At 35.6% G+C, this 22517-nt stretch overlaps 1 long non-coding RNA gene across 5 annotated transcripts in view; it reads left to right on the plus strand.

The window, feature by feature from the left end:
• The window catches only part of LOC124900669 (uncharacterized), a 33740-nt gene that overhangs the window by 6556 nt on the left and 4667 nt on the right, over positions 1-22517 (plus strand). For 2 of the 5 annotated variants that reach the window (XR_007058052.1, XR_007058053.1), the window contains exons 2-3: positions 17684-17809; positions 21223-21349. This is a non-coding gene — a long non-coding RNA (uncharacterized LOC124900669). Of the gene's footprint in view, positions 1-17602; positions 17926-18535; positions 18826-21222; positions 21350-22517 lie in introns of those variants that run through there. The other 3 variants (XR_007058054.1, XR_007058051.1, XR_007058055.1) reach the window with 3 other exon arrangements.

Consider the following 22517-nt stretch of genomic DNA (forward strand, 5'->3'; position numbering starts at 1 on the left):
GCTCAGTATTATGATATACAAATGTTTTGATTCAGAATGTTTAAAACTTTCTCAGTGCCTTAGTCATTATTACTAAAATAAATTAGTATCATAAGAACATGAAGAGAAGCTCAAGCGTGGTGGTTAAAGCAGTAGCATAGATTTGAATAGATCTGATTTACATTTGTAGTCATGTTTATGACGTTGGACAAGTAATCTAAATTTTGTGAGTTTCAGTTTTCTCACCTATAAAATAGAGATTATAGTAATAGTACTTAACAGGATTATTAAAAAGCTTATCAATACATATACAGTGCTTAGTATAACACTAAATCTATATTAGAACCTTTTATTAAAGTGTCTCATTTTCATATCAAGTAAGCACATTAGTACATAAATATTCAAATGAATTTTGTCTATAAAGACTTCGCGATGGCAACCTATCCAGTTAAGCCAGTGATGCTAATATTTTGAAATATCTTTTTTTGCGAGATGAGTAAAGGGAGAAAGAGTAAGCTTTCTGACTAAATATGGATAAATTAAAGTTTGGTATGATACAGGAGAATCATTTTCCTGAAGAAATTTAACTGAATTCAATAAAAACACTAGATATAGCCCCTGCACACACAAAGCCATAGATTAATACTACCCGCTGTGTGATAGTTAACATTGAAAAACGAGTTTCCTGGAGAAGAAGAAATTCTACCTTAAAACTGTAACAGTCTAGAAATCCTGCCTGAGTTTCCAGCCAGCGACTTGCCCTACAAATTACAGACTTGCCAGCACCCACAATCATATGAACCAATTCTTTCAAATTCTTCTCTTTCTTGCTCTCTGTCACTACACACACACACACAGACACACACACACACACACACACAAAGTGGTTCTGTTTCTCCAGAGAACCCTGATTGATACATGCTGTGAGGGATACCAAGGTGAATTATGACTTTATTTGATTAGTATTTATGCTGCCTTTGCAAATAAAAGAATTTTTCCAATTCCTCTTTTTTTTGAGTACCCATTATGAAACAGACACCTCATGAGGAAATTTAGCATATATTGTCTAACTTCCTCTTTATAATGATCCAACAAAAGTAAGAAGTAAATCTTAAATATTAGAAACTGCAATTTGTGAATTACTTTACAGAATATAAGACCCCGAAAGAAGGGATACAAATATAGAAAAAATAAAGCAAGAAGTGAGGAAATTCATAGACATGAACAAAATAAGTAGGAAAAAGAAATTACTTTGAAACTGAAATAAAATTTTGAGTTATCCTGGGCTAAGCCTACTTAGCTTTTTCCAAAAAAAAATCTTAATTTTTATATAATGGATTTAGCACATCTTTCCCTAGTTACTTGACCCTCCACTACTCCATGGTATATTCATGACAACTATTTAACAATATATACTTAAATAAGAAAAAATATGGCTATAAGGAGAGAAATAAAACATGAATTTAATTTCAGCTCTACTTATTACTAATTTATAGGCCTTGGGTAGGCTTCTTAGCCTCAGTTTTGTTACCCATAAAATAGAAGTAAGAGTAAACACTTCACAAGGGTATTATGAAGATCAAAATACTAGTATTTTAAAGAAATGCAAGGGAGAGGACAGCACAATGCTGTCAATAAAAGCCAAGTTTCTGAAGTTTTTGCAATTCTGCAAACTGTATACAAGCTCTAAGTTCTTCTCAACACTAAACCAAAAACTTTTTCAAACTAAACCTCTGTTGCTGTTTTAAATGAAACTTTTAGAAATGAAAATTATAATCATTGAAATTAAAATCTTAGTGACTGGATTAAGTAGTAGATTTGAAACAGCTCAGTAACTGGAAAATAAATATGATGAAATTACCCAGAATGTACCACAGATGTATCAGGATATTTTTTAAAAATGGGAGAGACATTGAAAAACATGGAGAATAACCTGGGAAGGTGTAACATGTAACTACAGTTGAAGAAAGAGAAGAGAGAAAGGATATGGAAGAGGTAATATGCTGAAATGTAAAGACTAAGGATTTTCTAGAATTAATGAAAGACATTAAATGCACATAAGCAAAACACAATATTCTAAGCAGAATAATAGAAAGTGACACCTGAATTCATTGTATTAACATTCCATAACCTACCAAAATGTGAAAAAAAAGTTTTTAGGTTATATCCTGTATATGCTAGTCACAGATTAAATCCTCTATATGCTAATCATAAATTAATCTATTTTTCTTGTAACCAGGAAAATACAAAATAATAACATATGTCATAATGATACATTTAATTGCAATTTTAAAGCATTTGTTGTTTTTCTTATAGGTGTGTACGTGCATGCACGTGTGTGTATGTGTGTGTGTATGTTTCTCTCTGTATCAGGCCAATTCATTACTTGCTGGAAGTCATACCACAAAGCATTTTTGCCAACTATTTATGTTCTTTCCTTACTTAGGTAAAGTAAATCCCATACTTTCTCAGTAGGGTTAAGGTCAAGACTCTGAGGGGAGCCACTCCTTCCTAATTAGTTCCCCAGACTCCTCTTTTTTTCCCCCTTTAAATGGCCACAACAGTCTAGAAAAATGTTTGGAGTCATAATCCCCCTGATAAATGAATCCCTGATCAAGCAGCTGGTTTCCAGAAGGGACTCCTTGCTGTGCTGCAATTATGTTGAAGCTGAACTCCAGTAGTTCAGGTCATGGCTGAAGTACTGAAGGGAAAAATACCTATCTCAGAGCTCCACTGTATGACACAGTAAGCTACAAGACTCCTGCTTCTCCTCTCCAAAGCCCTCACCCAAAGATCAATATTCTTCTTAGTTAATGAGAAAAATACTTAATGATGTGAATGCACGTGCAGGTCCTTGACTGGTGACCCACGCAGGGGAGATTCATGCCTTCAGAGTGTACTGGCAATTTAAAACCCATCCTAGAAAGCTTGAAAATGATTTTCTATTTATTCGATAATATACTTAATTTTTCAGTTACTAAATAGTTATCTATTAACAGTGGAGCCACATTATTTGAGATTTCGCAGGTAAAAGGTATAAAGGAAAATATTTATAAATACCAAGTTATATATCATACTAAGAGTTAGGAAAAGTCACATCTTAAATATTAGAAATGAAACGGCTCTTTAAAACACACAGAGGAACATATACAGAATTTTTCACCTGAGGACTGCCTGATTGTATAGATTTTCAGATACCTTTCCATAAATCTTACAGACTTATTTTCCCTCCCTGATTCTGCTAGGATAATAAAAATGTCCTGTTCGTGTTCCACGTCAATGGGCTCAGTCCTTCCTCATTTAATACTGTCAATAATGTTAGGTCAAATATGAAGTTGATTTGTGTTTATGCGGAGACGATGTTAACTTCTCTACTTTAAGTATTTCTAACTAAACATACCCTTCCATGAGATCACTATGTGTCCTCCTTTACCTTAATTTCAGAAAAAGAATTCAAATCATTCCAGAAAAAAAAAGAGATGTTTTAGAAGGCAATGAGACTCTTATTGTATGAAAAGAGATGACAATCACCCCTATGCAAAGTTAAAGGATGACAGACTATAGAAGAGGTTTACAACATGTAAAATAGAAAAAGAATCAATAATCAGAATAAAGAATGCCAACTTCACTAGGCTTTCGTAAGGCTGCCACAACAAATTACCACAAATTGAGTGGCTTAAAACAACAGAAATCAATTCTCTTACAGTTCTGGAGGTAGTAAGTCCCAAATCAAGCTGTCGAAGGCTCCAGGGGAAAGCACCCCTTGGCTTGTGGCTACATCATTCCAGTCTCTGTCTCCATCTGCACTTGACCTTCTCCTCCATCTGCCCTATGTTCTTCCTTTGTGTGTCTCTTGGAAGGACACTTGTTGGATTTACAGCCCACCTAGATAATATAGGATGATCTTATCTTGAGATTCTTAACTGAATCACTTCTGCAAAGACGCATTTTCAAATAAGATCACATTATAGGTTCCAGAGGTTAGAACATGAGTATATCTTTGTGGGGTTGGGTCCTAATTCAACACAATACGCCTATCAGATTTTTAGTTAAAAGCTTATAGAAGCTTTTAATTTGAGGCAATCTCCTCTACTATGAACATGTAATATTAAATAGAGAAAGTATAAAAACAATTCAAGATGCAAATCATAGTGAATCAGAAGATTAAAGCAGTAAATATCCGGGCGCGGTGGCTCACGCCTGTAATCCCAGCACTTTGGGAGGCTGAGGTGGGTTGATTGCCTGAGGTCAAGAGTTCAAGACCAGCCTGGCCAGCATAGTGAAACCCTGTCTCTACTAATTTCACAAAAATTAGCCGGGCGTGGTGGTGGGCACCTGTAATCCCAGCTACTCTGGAGGCTGAGGTGGGAGAATTGCTTGAACCCGGGAGATGGAGGTTGCAGTGAGCTGAGATTACGCCACTTCACTCCAGCCTGGGCGACAGAGCAAAACTCAGTCTCAAAAAAAAAAAAAAAAAGCAATAAATAAAACTGAAACTATGGGTGCAAATGACTTCAGGTCTTCTTGAAAAGACAAATGAATTTAACTCAATATTACAGGGACCAATAATAACTATAGAACAGTGCTGTATAAATGTTGGGCATCCTTGTATCATCTCACTGTCGGAGGGAAGGTTTTCAACATTAAAACATTTTCTTTCTAATCCTAATTCTAAATAAATACTAAATGTTATCAAACTTTTTTAGTGAGGATTTTTCCTATTAATGTTGTTTAGTACATTGAGTTAATAATTTCTGAAATAAATTCTATCTATTCATTAAAAAAAATTACAGAGACCTAAAGTGCATTCAACAAAAGTCTGTATTCACTCATGATTTTAAAAAATAATAACTTCTTGAAAATGAAGAATAGAAGGAAACTTCCTTAATCTGATTTTTAAAAATAACTCGCAAAAGCCTCTGTAAACATCACGCTAAATGGGAAAACTTTTGAAGCATTTCTAAATTGGGAATAAATAAGCAAGTTTGCTTGCTATTATCTTCTGTATTCACCACCATATAGGGAAGAAACGTTGCAAAGGAAAAGACAACACTGTCTCTGTGATGATATGATCACCATGATAGAAAAGACAAGCAAATCTCTTAATAAACTCATAGACCTAAAAAGAGTTCATTAAGCTTGCTGGATACAAGATCAACATACAAAAATTAGTGATATTTCTAAACACCAGCTACACCAGCGAAAGCAACCAGAAAGTATAAAGAAAAACGGTATCATTCACAAACACAAAAACTGTAAGGTAATGAGAAACAAAAGATGTTCAAAAACATTGTGGACATAGCTGGGCATGGTGGCACATGCCTGTAGTCCCAGCTACTTGGGAGGCTGAGGCAGGAGGATCATTTGAACCCAAGAGTTAGAGATTGAAGTGAACTGTGATTGCACCACTGCTCTCTAGCCCAAGCAACAGGGCAAGACCTTGTCACAAAAAAAAAAAAAAAAATTTATTATGGTGAAATAGTCCCAATTCTATATAAAGTCACATAAATTCAATTGCAATTGAGATTGTAATCTTGTTTTAATGTGGTACTGAAAAAAATGATCCCAAATTTTGGTTGTCAAATAATTTTGAAAAAGAAGAAGACGGCCTGCAGACAGTATAGAGGTAAAGGCATCAGTAGAACAGAGTAGAAACCCAGAAAGACTCAGACATACATGATAATTTAGTATTTCAATTCAGTGAGGAAAGGATTAAGTATTTAGTAAACGGTACTTGGACTAATGGATATCTATAGGGAAAAAAATAAAGTTTCTATCTCACAGTGTAAATAAAAATATTTTACAAATGAGAAAATCAAAACTTTGTAATATTTTAGATGACAATAAAGAATATATAACTTGGAGTAGAGAAGGAAGTCTTAAGACATACAAACAAAACTATGAAGAAAGGGTACGTTTAGTTAGAAATACTTAAATACTTTAACATATGCCTATGTTAAAATTAAAAAAACACTTTAGTTCAATTTTTAAAAGCACCGTAAACAAAGTTAAAAGGCAAACTAGGAGGGAGGACATATGACACTTACATCACTGATTAAATTCAAGCCAACAATTAGCTTAAAGTGGGTCTCCAATCTTAATGCCCCTAGACTTACAGAAGAAATAAAAGCAATCATTTCTGGAGGAAGGCACCTTTAGTCTATGCCACAGAGAATCCAGTTAATTTTCTAAGAAAAATGGGCAGTTGACAGACACAGATAGCTCTGAACACATGGAAATAAAGCATTGTAAATGACAATTAGCTGAAACCACAAACAGCATGAACATCTAAAATGACTAATATAATGAAATTGTTAACACAGGCAATGAAGAAATCATGCTTATTATGTTTAGAAGTGAAAGACAAGCTTGAACATACTTGTAAGGAAGAATTTATTAAAAAGCAAGTAGCAGATTTAAAAAATCAAATAGTATTTCTTAACACAAAAATTAAAATAATTGAAATTAAAAACACAAGCCTAGGAAACAAAACAAGACACCGTCTCTACAAAAAATTAGAAAATTATCCAGGTGAGGTGGTACACACCTGTAGTCTCAGCTACTCGGGAGGCAGAAATGGGAGGATCACTCAAGCCCAGGAGTTTGAAGTTACAGTGAGTCATGATCACACTACTGCACTTCAGTCTGGGTTACAGAGTGAGACCTTCTCTTAAAAAAAAAAAATAAAAAAAGGAAACACACACACACACACACACACACACACAACAGAATTAACACAGATGAAAAAAGAATTTGTTAATTAGAAGATGATCTATATGACAGTATCCAGAATGGAGCACAAAAATAAAAGAGAAGAAAAACATGAAATAAATGTTGAAAGACACGTAGAATAAAGTGACTAACAAATATTCAATCTTAGTTACAGAATACAATGAAAGAAAAAATAGGGGTGATGCAATATTTGCAGTGATAAGGGGTGAGAGTTTTTCAAAAATTGATGAAAGATATTGATTTACTTATTCAGTAATCACAGTGAATCTCAAACAAGCGAAATTTTTAAAAATCCGAGTATGGCGCCATGGCTCATGTCAGTAAACCGAATGCTTTGGGAAGCTGGAGGATCCCTTGAAGTCAGGGGGTAGGAAGATCACTTGAGACCTGGAGGTCAAGGCTGAAGTTAGCCATCATTGCACCACTGCACACCAGACTGGGCGACCCTGTCTCTGAAGAAAAAAAAAAAATTAAGAAATCCACACCCAGGCACATCCTACGAAAATGCAGAACCTCAAAGTCAGAGAGGGCCTTAAAGTTGGATTATCATTATAGATGTGGCATACTAACGGTTGACTTCTCAACAGCCACAGTGAAACTCAGACTCAGAAATGGGATCTATAATATTCTACATTTCTATAAACAGAGAAAATGTTATGCAAGAATGGAGATAAAGGTATTTTCAGGCTACTAAAAAATTATTTACCACCATTAGACTCACTCGAAAGGAAATTTTAAAAGATAGATTTTAGATGGAAAAACCAATCCCATGTGAAGAACAAAGAAAGTGATAATTTTGTGGATAAATAAGTGAACACTGAGTATATAAAATAATATCCTGTGGTGTTTGAAAGGGTAGGATTAAAATACATGACAATAATAACATATAAGCTCAAGAAAGAAAGGCGTAAGTGGAGTGAAAGTGGTTTAAAGTCATAGCTGGGCACAGTGGTGGGCACCTGTAGTCCCAGCTATTTAGAAGGCTGAGGTGGGAGGACGACTTGAGCCCAGGAGTTCCAGAGCAGCCTGGGCAACATAGTGAGACCATGACAAAGGAAAGGAATGTAAGATTGGCTTACATTTACATTATAAAATTAAATAATGTGGCCGGGCATGATAGCTCATGACTATAGTCCCAAAGATTTGGGAGCCCAGGGTGAAAGAATTTCTTGAGTCTAGGAGTCTGAGACCACCCTGGGAAACATAGGAAGACCTCATATCTGCAAAAAAAATAAAAAATAAAAATTTAAAAATTAGGTGGGCATAATGACAGGTGCCTATAATCCCAACTACTTGAGAGGCTGAGGTGAGAAAATAACTTGAGACCAGGAAGTAGAGGCTACAGCGAGTTATGATCATGCCACTGTACTCTGGCCTAGGTGACAGAGTGAGACCCCATCTCAAAAGTTTAAAAAAGTAAATAATGTAATGTATTAAAGAATAAAAATTATGACTATCTCAATAGATGGAGGAAATAGTTATAATTCAGTACAATTCAACATCTATTCATGATTTTTTAAAAATTCTTTTAGCAAACTAGAAAAAGAAACTCCCCTAACCTGATAAAAATAATTTACAAAAAGTCTACAACAAATATTATACTTAGTGGTAAAATGTCAGAAGTATTCCCATTGAGATTAAGATGATATATTGGCAATCCTAGCTAGTAACATAACTTTAAAAAAGAAGTAATTATAATGAAGAAATAAAACTTTCATTATCCAAAGCTGATATAATTATGTGCACTGAAAATCCAAAAGAATTATAGATGAATTATTAACTTTAAAAAGTGGGTTTAGCAAATCTCTTGGGTACAAAAATCAATACTCAAAAATCAATGCAGTTAGTTGCTATATACCAGCTACTAAGTAGAAAATTAAATAAAAAGGCAAAGGTAACTTTCACAATAGTGTAATAAGTATCATGCACTTAAGAATATATCTAAGAAAAGATATACAAGGCTACTTTTATATATACTTGAAAATTTTCATAACAAAAAGTTTAAATAATATAGGCTGTTTCAAGAGGGGGTTCAATTGGCTAATCAAATAAAAGAAAAATAAAACTGAACCCCTTACCTAACACCCTACACATAACAAGTAAAAGACTTCAACATAAATAGCAAAACTATACAATTTTAGGAGCTAATACAGGAAAAATATTTGTATTACCTCAGAAGAAAGAAATAGTTCATAAATCAAACATAATAAGCATTGTTATAAATAAAAATGTGATTGATAAAGCTACTTTAAATCATGAACTTCTGTCTATCAGAAGATACCACAAGGAGAGTGAAAAGACAAGCCAGAGTGGGGAAGAACATTTGTAGTGCAGATAGAATTTTTACATCTAAATAAGAAACCAAAAAAAGACTTACTTGTACCCAGAATGTATGACATATATCCATAAGCAAATGAGCAGTAGATTTGGAATGGGTACTTTGAAACAGGAGAAATTCAAATCATCAATAAACATATAAAAATTTATTTATCTTCTTAGAAATCAAGACAATGTAATTTAAAACAGCAGTTATTACTTTGTAACTAGCAGATGGGAAAAAATTTAAAAGTCTAACAATACCAAATCGTGAAGAGGATGTAGAGTAACAGGAGCTATCATACACTACTGATGGAAATGCGAACTGATTTAACTAACTTATATAATAGTTCAGCATTTTATAATAATGTTAAAAATACATTATATTCATCTCCAAATTCCAAATTCCAAAGGACCTGGTCACTCTTTTCCAAAGATCCTATCAGTTATAAAACAAAAATGTGTTGGTTTTCTTTCAGTGCGTAACAAGTGACCACAAACTGTGGCTTATAGCAACACCAATTTTTATGCTCACTGTTCTCTTGGCCAGAAGTCTTTGCACAATATAACTGGTTCTCTACTCAGGGTTTCACAAGGCTGAAATCAAGGTGATGGCTAGGCTACCTTCCCATCTGGAGCCCAGTGTCCTTTTTCAAGTTCCTGTGGCTGTGGCAAGGTTCAGTTCCTTGCAGATGTAGAACTGAAGGCTTCATTCTGTTGCTGGCCGGCAGCTAGGGGCAACTTTCCCAACTGCTTCCTTTACCCTGTGGCTCCCTCCATCTTTAAAACCAACAAGAGAATCTGTTTTTGTGTTGAATCCCTCTCATGTTTCTGAAATCTTTCACTAGGAAAAGCACAGTCCCTTTTAAGGATTCAGCTGATCAGTTTAGGTCCATTCAGAATAATCTGTTCTTTAAGTCAATTGTACCTTAGAACAGAGTCTAATCCCGGGAGTGACTATCTCATCATAGTCATATGCAAGGCGTATAAACTAGGGTGTGGGGATATCGAGAGCCATCTTAAAATTTTAATTTCACGCTAATTTTCCCAATTGTTTAGAATTAAAATGGAGTTTTGAGTTTTCTACTTTTATTTATTTATACTTGGCCTTATTTTATGGACTAGACACTTTGCTAGGTGATGCATATTAGCTTATTTAATGTCTTAACAACTCTATGAAATAGGTACTATCCCCATTTTATAGATGAGAATGGTGAATTTTAGGTTGATGATGAGACTTCTCTAAGGTTACCTTGATAAAAATGGCAGAGCAAAGATTCAAACCAAGTCCTGTCTATCTTGAGAGTCCTCCTTAACCACCCTGCTAAACTCTCTCTGGCCAGTTTTCCTGTATGTAGTCTATCAAGGACAAATTCTCTTAGCTTCCAGCTGGCTTTGCAAACTGGAATCTGTTCTTACAACAAATACTTATTTTTCTCTCTTTCTTTCATTGTCAAAAATCCTCTTTTTGGCATTTGTCCTTGAGTTTGTAGATTTCCCTTCACATCTCTCCTACTGACCATTTTATTTAAACAATTACATCTCTGAATCACTGCCTTCTAAATTGCAGTGACTAAGTGTGATCATTTTAAATAGCAAATTGGCATTATTTATATTTTTACGTCAAATCCCAAAATATAGATGCTATGGTTTGAATGTGTCCCCAAAAAGCATGTGTCGGAAGCTTAATCCCCAATGCAACAATGTTGGGAGGTGGAGCTTAATAGGAAGTGTTTAGGTCATGAGGGCTGCACTCTCATGAAAGGATTAATGCCTGATATACTTTGGATATTTGTCCCCATCCAAATCTCATGTTGAATTGTAATCCCCAATGTTGGAAGTGGGGCCTGGTGGGAGGACTTTGGATCACGGGGGTGGATCCCTCATGAATGACTTGGACCATCCCCTTGGTGATATGTGAGCTCTTGATCAGTTCACACAAGATCTGGTCATTTAAAAAGGTGTGGCAACTCCCGTACAACTCTCTCTTGCTCCTGCTCTTGCCATGTGATGTGCAAGCTCCTGTTCCCCTTCTGCCATGAGTAAAAGCTTCCTGAGGCCTCCCCAGAAGGAGATTCCAGGACTGTGCTTCCTGTACACCCTGCAGAACTGTGAGCCAATTAAACCACGTTTCTTGTAAATTACCTAGTCTCACATATTTCTTTACAGCAATACAAGAACATCCTAATACAGGAAATTAGTACCAAGAGTGGGGCATTGCTGTAAAGATACCTGAAAATATGAAAGTAGCTTTGGAACTGGGTAATGGGTAGAGGCTAGAAGAGCTTGGAGGCCACAGAAGAAGACAGGAAGATGAGGTAAAGTTTTAAACTTCTTAGAGACTGGTTAAGTGGTTGTGACCAAAATGCTGATAGTGATATGAACAGTGAAGGCCAGGCTGATGAGGTCTCAAATGGAAATGTGAAACTTATTAGGAACTGGAGCAAAGGTCACTCATGTTATGCCTTAGCAAAGAACTTGGCTGCATTGTGCCCTGCCCCTAAGGTTCTGTGGAAGTTTGAATGTCAGAGTGATAATTCAGGGTATCTGACAGAAAAAAAAAAGGGGGGGTTAGAAAAGCATTCAAGACCTAAGGTTCTGTGGAAGTTTGAATGTCAGAGTGATAATTTAGGGTATCTGACATTAAAAAAAAAAAAAAAAAAAAGTAGAAAAGCATTCAAGATCTGTCCTGGCTTTTTCTAAAAACCTATGCTCAGATGCAGGAGCAAAGAAATGACTTAAAGTTGGAACTTATACAATGGGAAGCAGAGCATAAAAGTTTGCAGAATTTGCAGCCTACCCATGTGGCAAAGAAAGTAAAAGCATCCTTGGGAGAGAAATTTAAGCAGGATGTGGAGCAACCATTTGCTAGAAATATTTGCATAACTAAAAAGGAGCCAAGTGCCAATAGCCAAGACAATGGGCAAAAGGCCTCAAAAGCATTTCAGAGATCTTCTCAGCAGCCCCTCATCACAGGCCCTGAGGCCTATGAGAACTGAATGATTTCCTGGGCCAGGCCTAGGGCCCCCGTGCCCTGTTCTGGCTTGAGACAATGTTCCCTACATCCTGGCTGCTCCAGCTGCAGCTCCAGGAGTTTGAGACCAGCCAGGGCAACATAGTGAGTGAGACCCCTATCTCTAAAAAAATAATTTAAAAAGTTAGCTGGTGCATACCTGTAGGCCCAGCTACTTGGGAGGCTGATACAGGAGGATCAAGTGGGAGGACTGCTTGAACCCAGGAATTTGGGGCTGCAGTGAGCTATGATCAGGCCACTGAACTCCAGCCTGGGAGACAGAGCAAGACCCTGTCTCTAAAATAATTAAATAACCAAAAAGACAAACATTTGTCTACTTAATAATGAAATATATATTAACATGCCTTTTGTGATAGGTTGAATTGCATCCTCTACAAAGATATGTTGATGCCCTAATCTTTAGTACCTGTGACTATTTGGAAATGAGATTCTTGCTGATGATGGAGTTAAGATGAAGTTATGTGGGTGGGCCCTTAATTCTAGATAACCAGTGTCCTTATAAGAAGAGGAGAGAGAAGAATACCATGTGAAAGAAAACACAGATACACAGGAGGAAGACAGTCTTTAGAATCATAGGCAGAGATTGGAGTTATGCTACCAAATGCCAAGGAATGCCAGGAGCTATCAGAAGCTGGAAGAGGCAAGGCAAGATTCTCTCCTACAGCATTCAGAAGGATTATGGCTCTATTAACAACCTGATTTTGCATTTCTCACCTCCAGACCTGTAAGACAACAAATTTCCATTGTTTTAAGTCACTTAATTTGTGGTACTTTGTTACAGCAACCCAAGGAAACTAATACACCATCCCTTCATTTTTTAACATAAATATTGTATACACCATTCTACACTTTATTTTTTCACTTATATGTTCTCATATTTAATTACACTAAAATGTGAATTTTGCTTTACTTCTTTTTGTTCTTTTTTTAGACACTGCAGTGAATGCATGTTTTACTTCTTATATTTTCTCCATCTGAAGACATTGATATTTTTATCAACTTATTTTCTGAACACTTTTGACCTGAAATTCACTGGATTTTTGTTTCCATATCCAGTTATTTTCTCTATTGGTCTCTATAGGATTATGCTAAATGGTTTTCTCTTGGCATTTTTCTCCTTCCTGTTCTGATCATCATTAGTGAAAATCTGTGAAACAAAATCAAGCTATTTCCCTGGCCCACTCAGGATAAATCCTCATTATTCACTCCTATTTCATATCGTTTCAACTAAGCCAATTCTACATTTTCTTCAAAGGGTTAATGTTTGCAACCCAACCCCTATATACCAATACCCTTAGTTTAAAATCTTTATTAAAGTGGTAGTATATGCTGAGCTCGGTGGCTCACGCCTGTAATCCCAGCACTTTTGAGAGACTGAGGTGGGAGGATCACTTGAGGCCAGGAGTTTGAGACCAGCAACATAGCAAGACCCCATCTCTACAAAAAATTTAAAAGTTAGGCATGGTAGTACACATCTGTAGTCCCAGCTACTCAGGAGGCCAAGGCAGAAGGATCACTTGATCCCAGGAATTTGAGGTTACAGTGAGTCATTATCATGTAACTGCACTTTAGCTTGGGCAACAGAGTGATACCCTGTCTGTAAAAAAAAAAAAAAATAGAGTTAGTAATTTGTCACCAGGCTACAAGAATGTCCTACAAAACCAAAGAACAAGAATACAGCTAAGCCTCACAAGAGACTTTAAGCAGGACCCAGATATCCATAAGGAAACCCAAGAGTATTTTACCTCTCATGTTAATTTTTCTTCATTTATGTAATTTATTCCACTCTCTCTATTCAGCCTGGTATTCTCTGTTTCCTTGTCCCATCCTGGAAGACAGCCATGCCCCAGCTCTCAGACTTACAATACTGTAACTCCAATTGCTGTTTTAATGAATTATCTGTCTCTGAGTGAATCCCAATTCCAAATTATTGATGGAAAGAATCTGACTGGCTGTTTGGCTCAGGGGTTCATTCCAGGTCAAATCAACTTGAGCTGGGGGGCAGGGTTATTAGATAGGGTCCTGTATAGGGAAGAACAGTAGTCTGAGAAGGAGTGATGGCAACATGGTTTAAATTGTTCATTCCATTGGGGACGAATCTTTTTTTTTTTTTTTTTTTTTTGAGAGAGAGAGAGAGAGAGAGAGTCTCGCTCTGACACTCAGGCTGGAGTACAGTGGCATAATGTCAGCTCACTGCAACCTCTGCCTCTTGGATTCAAGCGATTCTCTGCCTCAGCCCCCCAAACAGCTGGGACTACAGGCACCTGCCACTGCACCTGGCTAATTTTTATATTTTTAGTAGAGATGGGCTTTCACCACATTGGCCAGGCTAGTTTCGAACTCTTGATCCCCCGCCTCGGCCTCCCAAATTGCTGGGATTACAGGTGTGATCCACCACACCCGGCCACAAATCTTTTACACTATCCTTCCTTCAAAAGTTGTTTGAGCTTCCCTTCTAACCTGGATCTCTCCGTTTGGTCTTATTCTGTGTAGCAGCCAACTACCCTGTCTTCCTTTTCTTTCTTTCTCATTTCTGCTAGAACTTTAGTTTCCTCTGTCTGTATCCTAAACATTCTCCCTCTCTGTGTTTTTGGTGTCAGCTTACATCTATGTGTTAGAGTTGAGTGTGTGTGTATGGGGTGGGGGTGGGGGAATGGGAAAGCATCACACTTATTATTATATTATTCCTAAATATAGTACTATACCTAAAAGGTATGCTGGTGAACAAAATTTCTCCATCTATTCACTTATTAATATTTGATGTTTATTCTCTCTCTTCTTAAAAGTGATTTGAAGCAGCTTCCCTCATCTTTACATATCCTTTTCATTCTTTATTCCCTTTCTGCACCTTTTCTTCCAGTATTGGCTAAGTCGATGTGTAGCCTTAATGGTGGCTCTAAACTCTACAGGAATTACTCATTCCATTGACATCACCAGTTCGAAACATCATTTCTTTTTCTGTCTTTCCACTTCCAATTCACATTCAGAAAGGCCTATGGGAAACCATCTGGTGTCTTGAATTGTGTTCTCTAGTGTAAGAGACCAAAATATGGCACCGCAAACATGCATCTTTAGCGTAATTGTTTTGAGTTGATTATTTTGACAACAACACAGACAGGAAAAGCTCTGAAAACAGAGTGTAAGTTATCTTTTGTAAAGGAAATTACCATTTGTGAGGCTGTCTCCCTCTCTGTACTCCTCTCTTAAATCTGTAACGCAGTTTTAAATTGGTGCCTTCTTTATGGATAAGAGTCTCAGGCACCGATTTAAATCTGCATTACAAACCACATTCTAGTTTTCCTGGTCACCTTCCTGTAACTTGCCTCCCCACACCTTCTTCCTTTGTTTTAGCCAAAGGTAGTAGTATATAAGCTCAAATTTTAGCTACCTTGTTCAGTTACTCATCCCTGATTTTCTCCCATGTATATTTGAAATATACATGTTAATATACTTCTGTTTGTTTTTCTCTCATCACTCTGTCATTTGTTATAGAGGGCCCAGCCAAGAACATAGAAAGGTAGAAAAATAATTTTTTTTCTCCTCTACACTGGAAATAGACTCTGTGCCAGAGAATCATTTGCAGAAGTTTTATTGGCAAGTGCTCCTGTGAGGCGTTCTTGTAAGAAAGTTCCAAATGGGTAGAGTGAGAAGCTGTTCCTGAATACAGTTATAGCTGAGGTCTCAGCCCTTCTACAAGGTGCTCTGGAGCTGGAGTGGCTCTTCAAAGTTGTTCCAAATAGAACCAAAGGAGCCAGATCTTTCTATTCTTGCATCAGTGAATCATTTATCATGGGAGAAGCTCTGGAAGGAAGCATAACCTTGGCCAAAACAGTGCCCTGCAGCCATGAACAATTCTCAGTGAGGGGTGCACCCATGAGCTATTGAAAGCTGATGCCCCAACCTCTGAGGATAAGGACATTTGCAATAGACGAAGAATATGGGCAAAGCACCAGAGTGGCCACTATACATGATATCAAACAGAAAGTTCAGTAAACTAAATGTTGAGAGATCTGGGCTTTGGTCCTGGCTTTGCCAAAACTGTGTATCCTTAGATAGATCACTTTATCTTTATGGACACTGTTTGCCTCAGTCACAAAACAAGGTAACTGCAGCACAGTCAACAGGTATTTATTCCAGAGAAGTAATACCACATATGCATAAAAAGGGGCATCTGAGAGACATGGTTCTAATAATGAAATATTCAGCAATTTGAGGGTTGGGTGCTTAATAATATGGACGCCCCAATTTAAAAGAATTAGATATATCTATATGTATTAATTATAGAAAGCTCTTTAAGTAATACTGCAACGCACAAAAAAAGCAACTTGCTTAAAAGGTATGGTATGATTCCATTTATCTGTAAAGTAAATCACACGAAACTATGTATGAAAACGTATTTCTGTCTGGAAGGACAAAAACCAAAGAAACCTGTCTAAGATTGGGAAAGAAAGCAGGGCAGGGGAGAGGAAAGTAAATTACTTTACCTTATACAGCTTATGTATTTTTAATAGGCACATATTACTTATGTAATTTGAGAGAAAAATAATAAATATAAAGTAGATTAATGTAAAGTTACTAAATGTGAAATCCAAAAGTTCAGCTCTGAAATGCCATGATTGTAAGGACCATTCCTCTATTTTAACTCCACCTCTCCCTCTTCCACAATGGTCCGCCAAACTATTGGTAACCCTTATAAGATGAGGGGTTCTCCTTGGCAGCCAATTCACCCTGAAGTGATAGAGGAAGGTGAGAAACCAGAAATAGAAATATACTCAAAAGTGGCTAGGTGAAGTGGCTCACACCTGTAATCCCAGCACTTTGGGAGGCCAAGTCAGGCCAATTGCTTGTGCTCAGGAGTTCAATACTAGTCTGAGCAACATGGTGAAACCCTGTCTCTAAAGAAGATAAAAAATTAGCTGGGAGTTGTGGTGCATGCCTGTAGTCCCAGCTACTCAGGAGGCTGAGGAATGAGGATTGTTTGAGCCCTAGAAAGTCGAGGCTGCAGTGAGCTGTAATCATGCCACTGCACTCCACCCTGGGTGACAGAGTAAGACATTGTCTCAAAAAAAAAAAAAAAAAAAATCTCAGAAATGACTCTCCCTCAAATTTAAAGATGTTAGCTAAGGAAACCTTAAGAACTTATTCAGTATGTCCTTTATACTTAACTCTAGTTTCGATTCAGTAGATGTCGCAACAGCAAGAAGTACTAAACTTGTAATAGTTTCAAATAGATGTTAGTTGATCCACACTGGTCTCTGAGAAAGGATTTTGACTTTTAATATGGAAAGGAGAATTAGTCTTCTAAAACGTGATTACTATCTTGGTAATCATATTTTTTAAATATGTATAAATTATTATAAGGGATTTTTGGTTTCCACAATTTTAAAAACAAGCTGTTGAGTCTGAAGTTAAAATAGTTGCTTTACATCATCCTTTAAGGTACCCTAAAAGTGAATATTTTGAAAGAAGAGTCTATGCATACATCGCATAATACTTGTAATTATAGTTACTAAAGCCCTCTAATACTCATGTACAATGTTGAAATTCACTTTGATAATGCATTGTAATACCCTCCAAAAATTTAGCCAAAGAAAGGATGATTGTCTGCTCTCTTTCTGCCAGAATGGGACTGTTTCAAGGGAAGGCTCCTTACAGTGAAGAAAAGGGTCAAATCCAATTAAAATTGCAAAGGAAACTTCGCGAGGACGAATGCCATTAGCCCAAACTGGAATGTGGCCAAAACACGGGGTAATACTTCAACTCTTAGAAAAAGTGCCAGGGGGATATTTAACAACTGCAGGTGGCCAAATGCTTTCTCATAAGTCTCATCAGAAACGTCATTTATAGCAACAGTATTCACCAAGGTAAAGTAATATCACTTGAGAAACTGCATATTCAATTACTATGTTTAAACTCTGACATTTGTCAGGTATCAGTTGAAACTGCTTCTCTCTGGGCAACATAGCGAGACCCAGTCTTTACATTAAAAAAAAAAAATTAAAAAAACTACCTCTCTGTAGGACGAAAAATATAGAAATGAAATGTTCCTGTTATTAACCAAAGCTAGAACATAGAAAACAATCGTAATTTAAATCTAGCATTGGACTTTCCTTAAATGAAAAAATCAATTATCATTTTGGCCAATAAACTGAGCCTTGATACATGCATGTTTTAAATTTTCTTTCTAAGTTTTAGAAATCTTTATAAAATTTTAACCAAGATTTTGTCCTCCACAATATTTTCTTACTATATGCTTATTTTATATGACTTCAGTTTTATATTTTCCAGAATCTGCACAAGAATGAGCTTGACTAGTTTTTTAAAATGTACAAATTAAACCATGCTGTGAAATATTATAATACTGTTTCTTATTTCTCTTAAAATTTATTTTTCTTTTTATCTCATTTATTTTAAATAATTGAATTTTAAATCTCTCCCACTTCATCTCTCTCTCTCTTTCTCTCTCTCTCCCAGAATTGTAAGAGAAACATTTTGTGAACTGTGATATAAAGGTGATGGAAAATGCAGGCCTGTTAGTGACATAACACATCCATTCTTGAATCCTGCAAAGGATATTATGTGAGCAAATGCACATAGTGAAACCTAAAAAGGTTCCAGTTTTTAAATGCTGAATGCTAGAGAGCTCTGCTTTTACCTGCTGTGATTTAAAAGGCTAGAGGCCTCATTTTAAGCCACTAAAATTCAAAGTGACAGAAACCTACAAATTTTTATTGCTGTGCATTTAATAAAATTTACATTTACAAGCTGTCAGTTTGAAATGTTGAATAACTGGTACTTTTGCATTCAGAAGAGCAGATTTGGTTGTGTAGGGGGTTCATTACTACCTACTTACACGTTCCTTAAATACTCAGAATAATCCTTCAATCTATGACTTTTGATATCTCTTAATTCAACACTGCACAAAAACACCATTGAGTTTGCAGTAAGATCAACAAAAGGAATTTATTGTGCTCCTATAAAGCAAGACATAATTAAGAGCCCCTTTCTGCTTGTTGTAGTGCTAATACGAGAACATTAGAACCAAGGTACAGTCTATTGCTAGGTGTCTGCAGCAGCTGCCTGGTTTTTTGGTAATTTACTTACTCAATTATGTCGACTCTCTTAAATCCACAACACTGGTGGGTGGTAAGGTAGAGGGATAATAAAAAAACATAGAGTAGGAAACCCCTTTAATGCATGTTTTATGTGCATCTTGGGTAACATTTTTTTTGTTTGTTTGCTTTTGAGAACAAGAATTAAAGATTGTAACTTTAGGAAACTCTCAGCACAGGAATAAACCTGCATGGGTTTTAGACAACTTTAAAAATTATGAGATGTCTAATAATCCTATGATTATGTGGTCTGTTCTGAAAAAGAATATTAAACTAAATGTTTGACTCAGTATTACAAAAACAGATTATCTAATGGCTTCCAAGGGGGAAATATGAGAAGGACCATTCATAAAGTTCCTTAATAGTAATAAATTATACACACTTCCTTATTTTCCATGTAAATGCAAAGACAAGGAGAAACTCTGACGGGATGTGTTCTCACAGCTTTATAAGAACCACCTTTAATAAAATGTCTTCGAACTCCTGTCAATTTTAATCCAATATTCCTTTCAAATGAGCATCAGAAAAAAATGCTCACTACACTTATGAATATCTAATTTTTTCTTAATATTCAAAGAAAGTTTGAATGCCAAACTCAAAGTTTTAATTTTTAGAATGCATTTGTTTTGTATTTAAGTCAAAATACAAAATGGGAAAAAGAGTCCGAAAGTAGAAAATTCATGCCGATTTACCTTGCCATTATTCAAATATGAAAAATTAAATTATTGTACTAAATGCAAATTAGTGACTTTGAAAATTCAAATTGATTCATTTTAAATATTATTTAAATTATCTCTATAATTGTGGCATTCATATAAAAGGACAAATTATAATGTGCTGATATAAATTGCAACTTGGAGACAAAACAGGTTAAGTAATTCTCTTCATATATCAAAATTTATGTGGCACTCATAGTCCATTTTCTTTCCGTATGTTAAGTCCCACAAAATGTCTTTGATAAACCGAATAATCTCCATTTTACAGCTCAAAAATTACAAAAGAATTTACAAATACTAAGCATTAGTTTTGATTGCAAATTAGATAACCTTAAACTGTCCGCTCTGGAACTTTTTATCCTCTTTTAGACAAGGTGACATTATTTAAAATAAGAAAGAGCAACAACAACAAAAACCTTATTTTGTAAAATTACCTTTTAATCATTGCCTTTGAAATCACTTTTGTATCTTTTGCTTCTAAGACAATTTTTTTTTGATTTTTGTCTCAAAAGAACTGAAGGCATAAAATATATTATAGCCAATTAAGTCTGATGCAATAATATGTTTAGTAATACCTTTCTAAGTTTTTAAAAGCAATTTATACCTCATTTTTTTATTTGTAGTTACCAGAGGTGAATTAAATAGTTTGGAAAGAGGCCTAGAAAATTTTTGTTTTTAAAATGAAAGGTGAAATCTGAAAATGTCTGAGAGGCTACAAAATAACAGGAGAATGTGTAAGTCATCTTTTCTCTCTGTTTTCCTCCTGAATAATGAAATCACTGAGCTAAAGGAACCCTACTGAGTTTTCACTGTGCCAACATCACATAACTGGCCTCTATTTGAATTATGTATGTTCATTCTCTACAACTTAAGTTACTTGATTTTCCTGTTAAAAAGTCCATTCTGAAATAGTACACACTGCTCAGAATATGTGGATGAAAATAATATCTATAACAGAGTAAGATAATCTCACTTTTTCAAAAAGTATGGTAAAAATAGCAGTGACATATCTAAGATAACAAATGCCAATGACTCATTGACTAATAAATGTAAAAAATTAGTTTAGAGTAAAAAATATAATAGAAGAGGATCTTTTGCCCTCAGTCATTAGTTCAGGGCGAGCTCAGGCTAAACATTAATTTGAAACCTTTTCTCAAACACTTGATTTCAATGTTTGTTTAAATGCTAGGTTTATTGGTGTAATATATGCATTGGATATATATGGTCTCTATTAATCTGACTGGTTGCATTCAAGATAAATGAACTTTAAGTAACTAAAATAACATCGATATTAATATAATTGTATTTACTAACCTCCTGCTACTCCTTTCAGCCTGGCATAAGGGTTGGAATTACAAGTCAGACAGGGCTGAGCAGCAATCTTCAAGAAAATTGCTCTAAATTGGCCTTCATTAGCTCTCACGGCACTGAAAAACAACTCCAATGCATGCCTATGGAAGGTAAGCCAGTAGAAAAGCTCCCTATTAAAAAGGCAGCACATTAACCTGCTTAACAGGCATTCATCACATTCAATAAATACTATTCAATAAAGCATCTTCGATGGCAAAATAATTCTGCCATTTCTAAATATTGGGACTGTTAGGACCAAATTTAAAACCCACCCTGCAATGGCATGTATGTTAATTCCAATTACTTTTTTTTTTCAATTGTAGAGAATTAGAGATTGTTGCCAAATTTTTAAATTGCCTTTACATTATGTTCCTCGGGTATAAATAATCAGTACTGCAGAGTAACAAAGAATAAAGAAACTAAAACTTTGAAAGAACTTTAAGAGGAAAATATATTTCAAAGTGAAGAAAAAATTCTTGTGTTTCATAGCTTCGCTTTGAAGAGTATGCTCTTTCTTGACATCTGCATAGTAAAAGGGAGTTTAATTTCCTTGGTCAACTCTCCTTTCTGAAAATCCTGTATTGGCAGACTTGGAAATGGAAGGAATTTGTCTCAGGGATTAATTCGCAGCTCTTCTTAACACTCAAACGCTGAATATCTTCAGTACACAAGCCAGGGAATGTGAACCTTAGAGTTACACTTTTTAGCAAACAAATGTTTTTAAAATATATTTTTTCAATAGAGAGACTACACAAAATATATCGGTGTCATGAACTGTCTGACATGAAATTGATATGCATATTAATTTTCCCAGCTGAGCTCCCTCTGGTTTATAGCTTGAAAAAGTTCCAGCAATTTGTCCTTTATATTGGCATTTCCATTTCTAAACCTTACCATTGGTTTTGTTCCAAAAAATAACATTTCAAAACAGAACAGTAAAGTAAAACATTTTAGGCCTAGCAAATAAGACCACCTTCTTGAAAGCCAGGTCATTTTTCTCAAAGTCTAAGTTCACAGCCAATTCTACCATTTCAACTTGAACCATTTTAATTTAGTAAGCATTTTTTATAAAATATCAAGGTTCTGTGAATTCATTTGTCTGCTCGGTGAAACATGGCTATTCATATCAATGGAAGGATGCAGTTTAGAGTAGTGGCTAAAATTTAGGTCACAAAGTCAATTGATCCTAGTCTTACTATTTACTATCTATATGACCTTAAGCAAGTCACTTATACTCTCTAAGGCTCAATTTCCTAATCTGTTAAGTGGGAATGATCT

The sequence above is a fragment of the Homo sapiens genome, chromosome 4, assembly GCF_000001405.40.
Source record: "Homo sapiens chromosome 4, GRCh38.p14 Primary Assembly".
In the NCBI taxonomy this organism is placed as follows: Eukaryota; Metazoa; Chordata; class Mammalia; order Primates; family Hominidae; genus Homo; species Homo sapiens.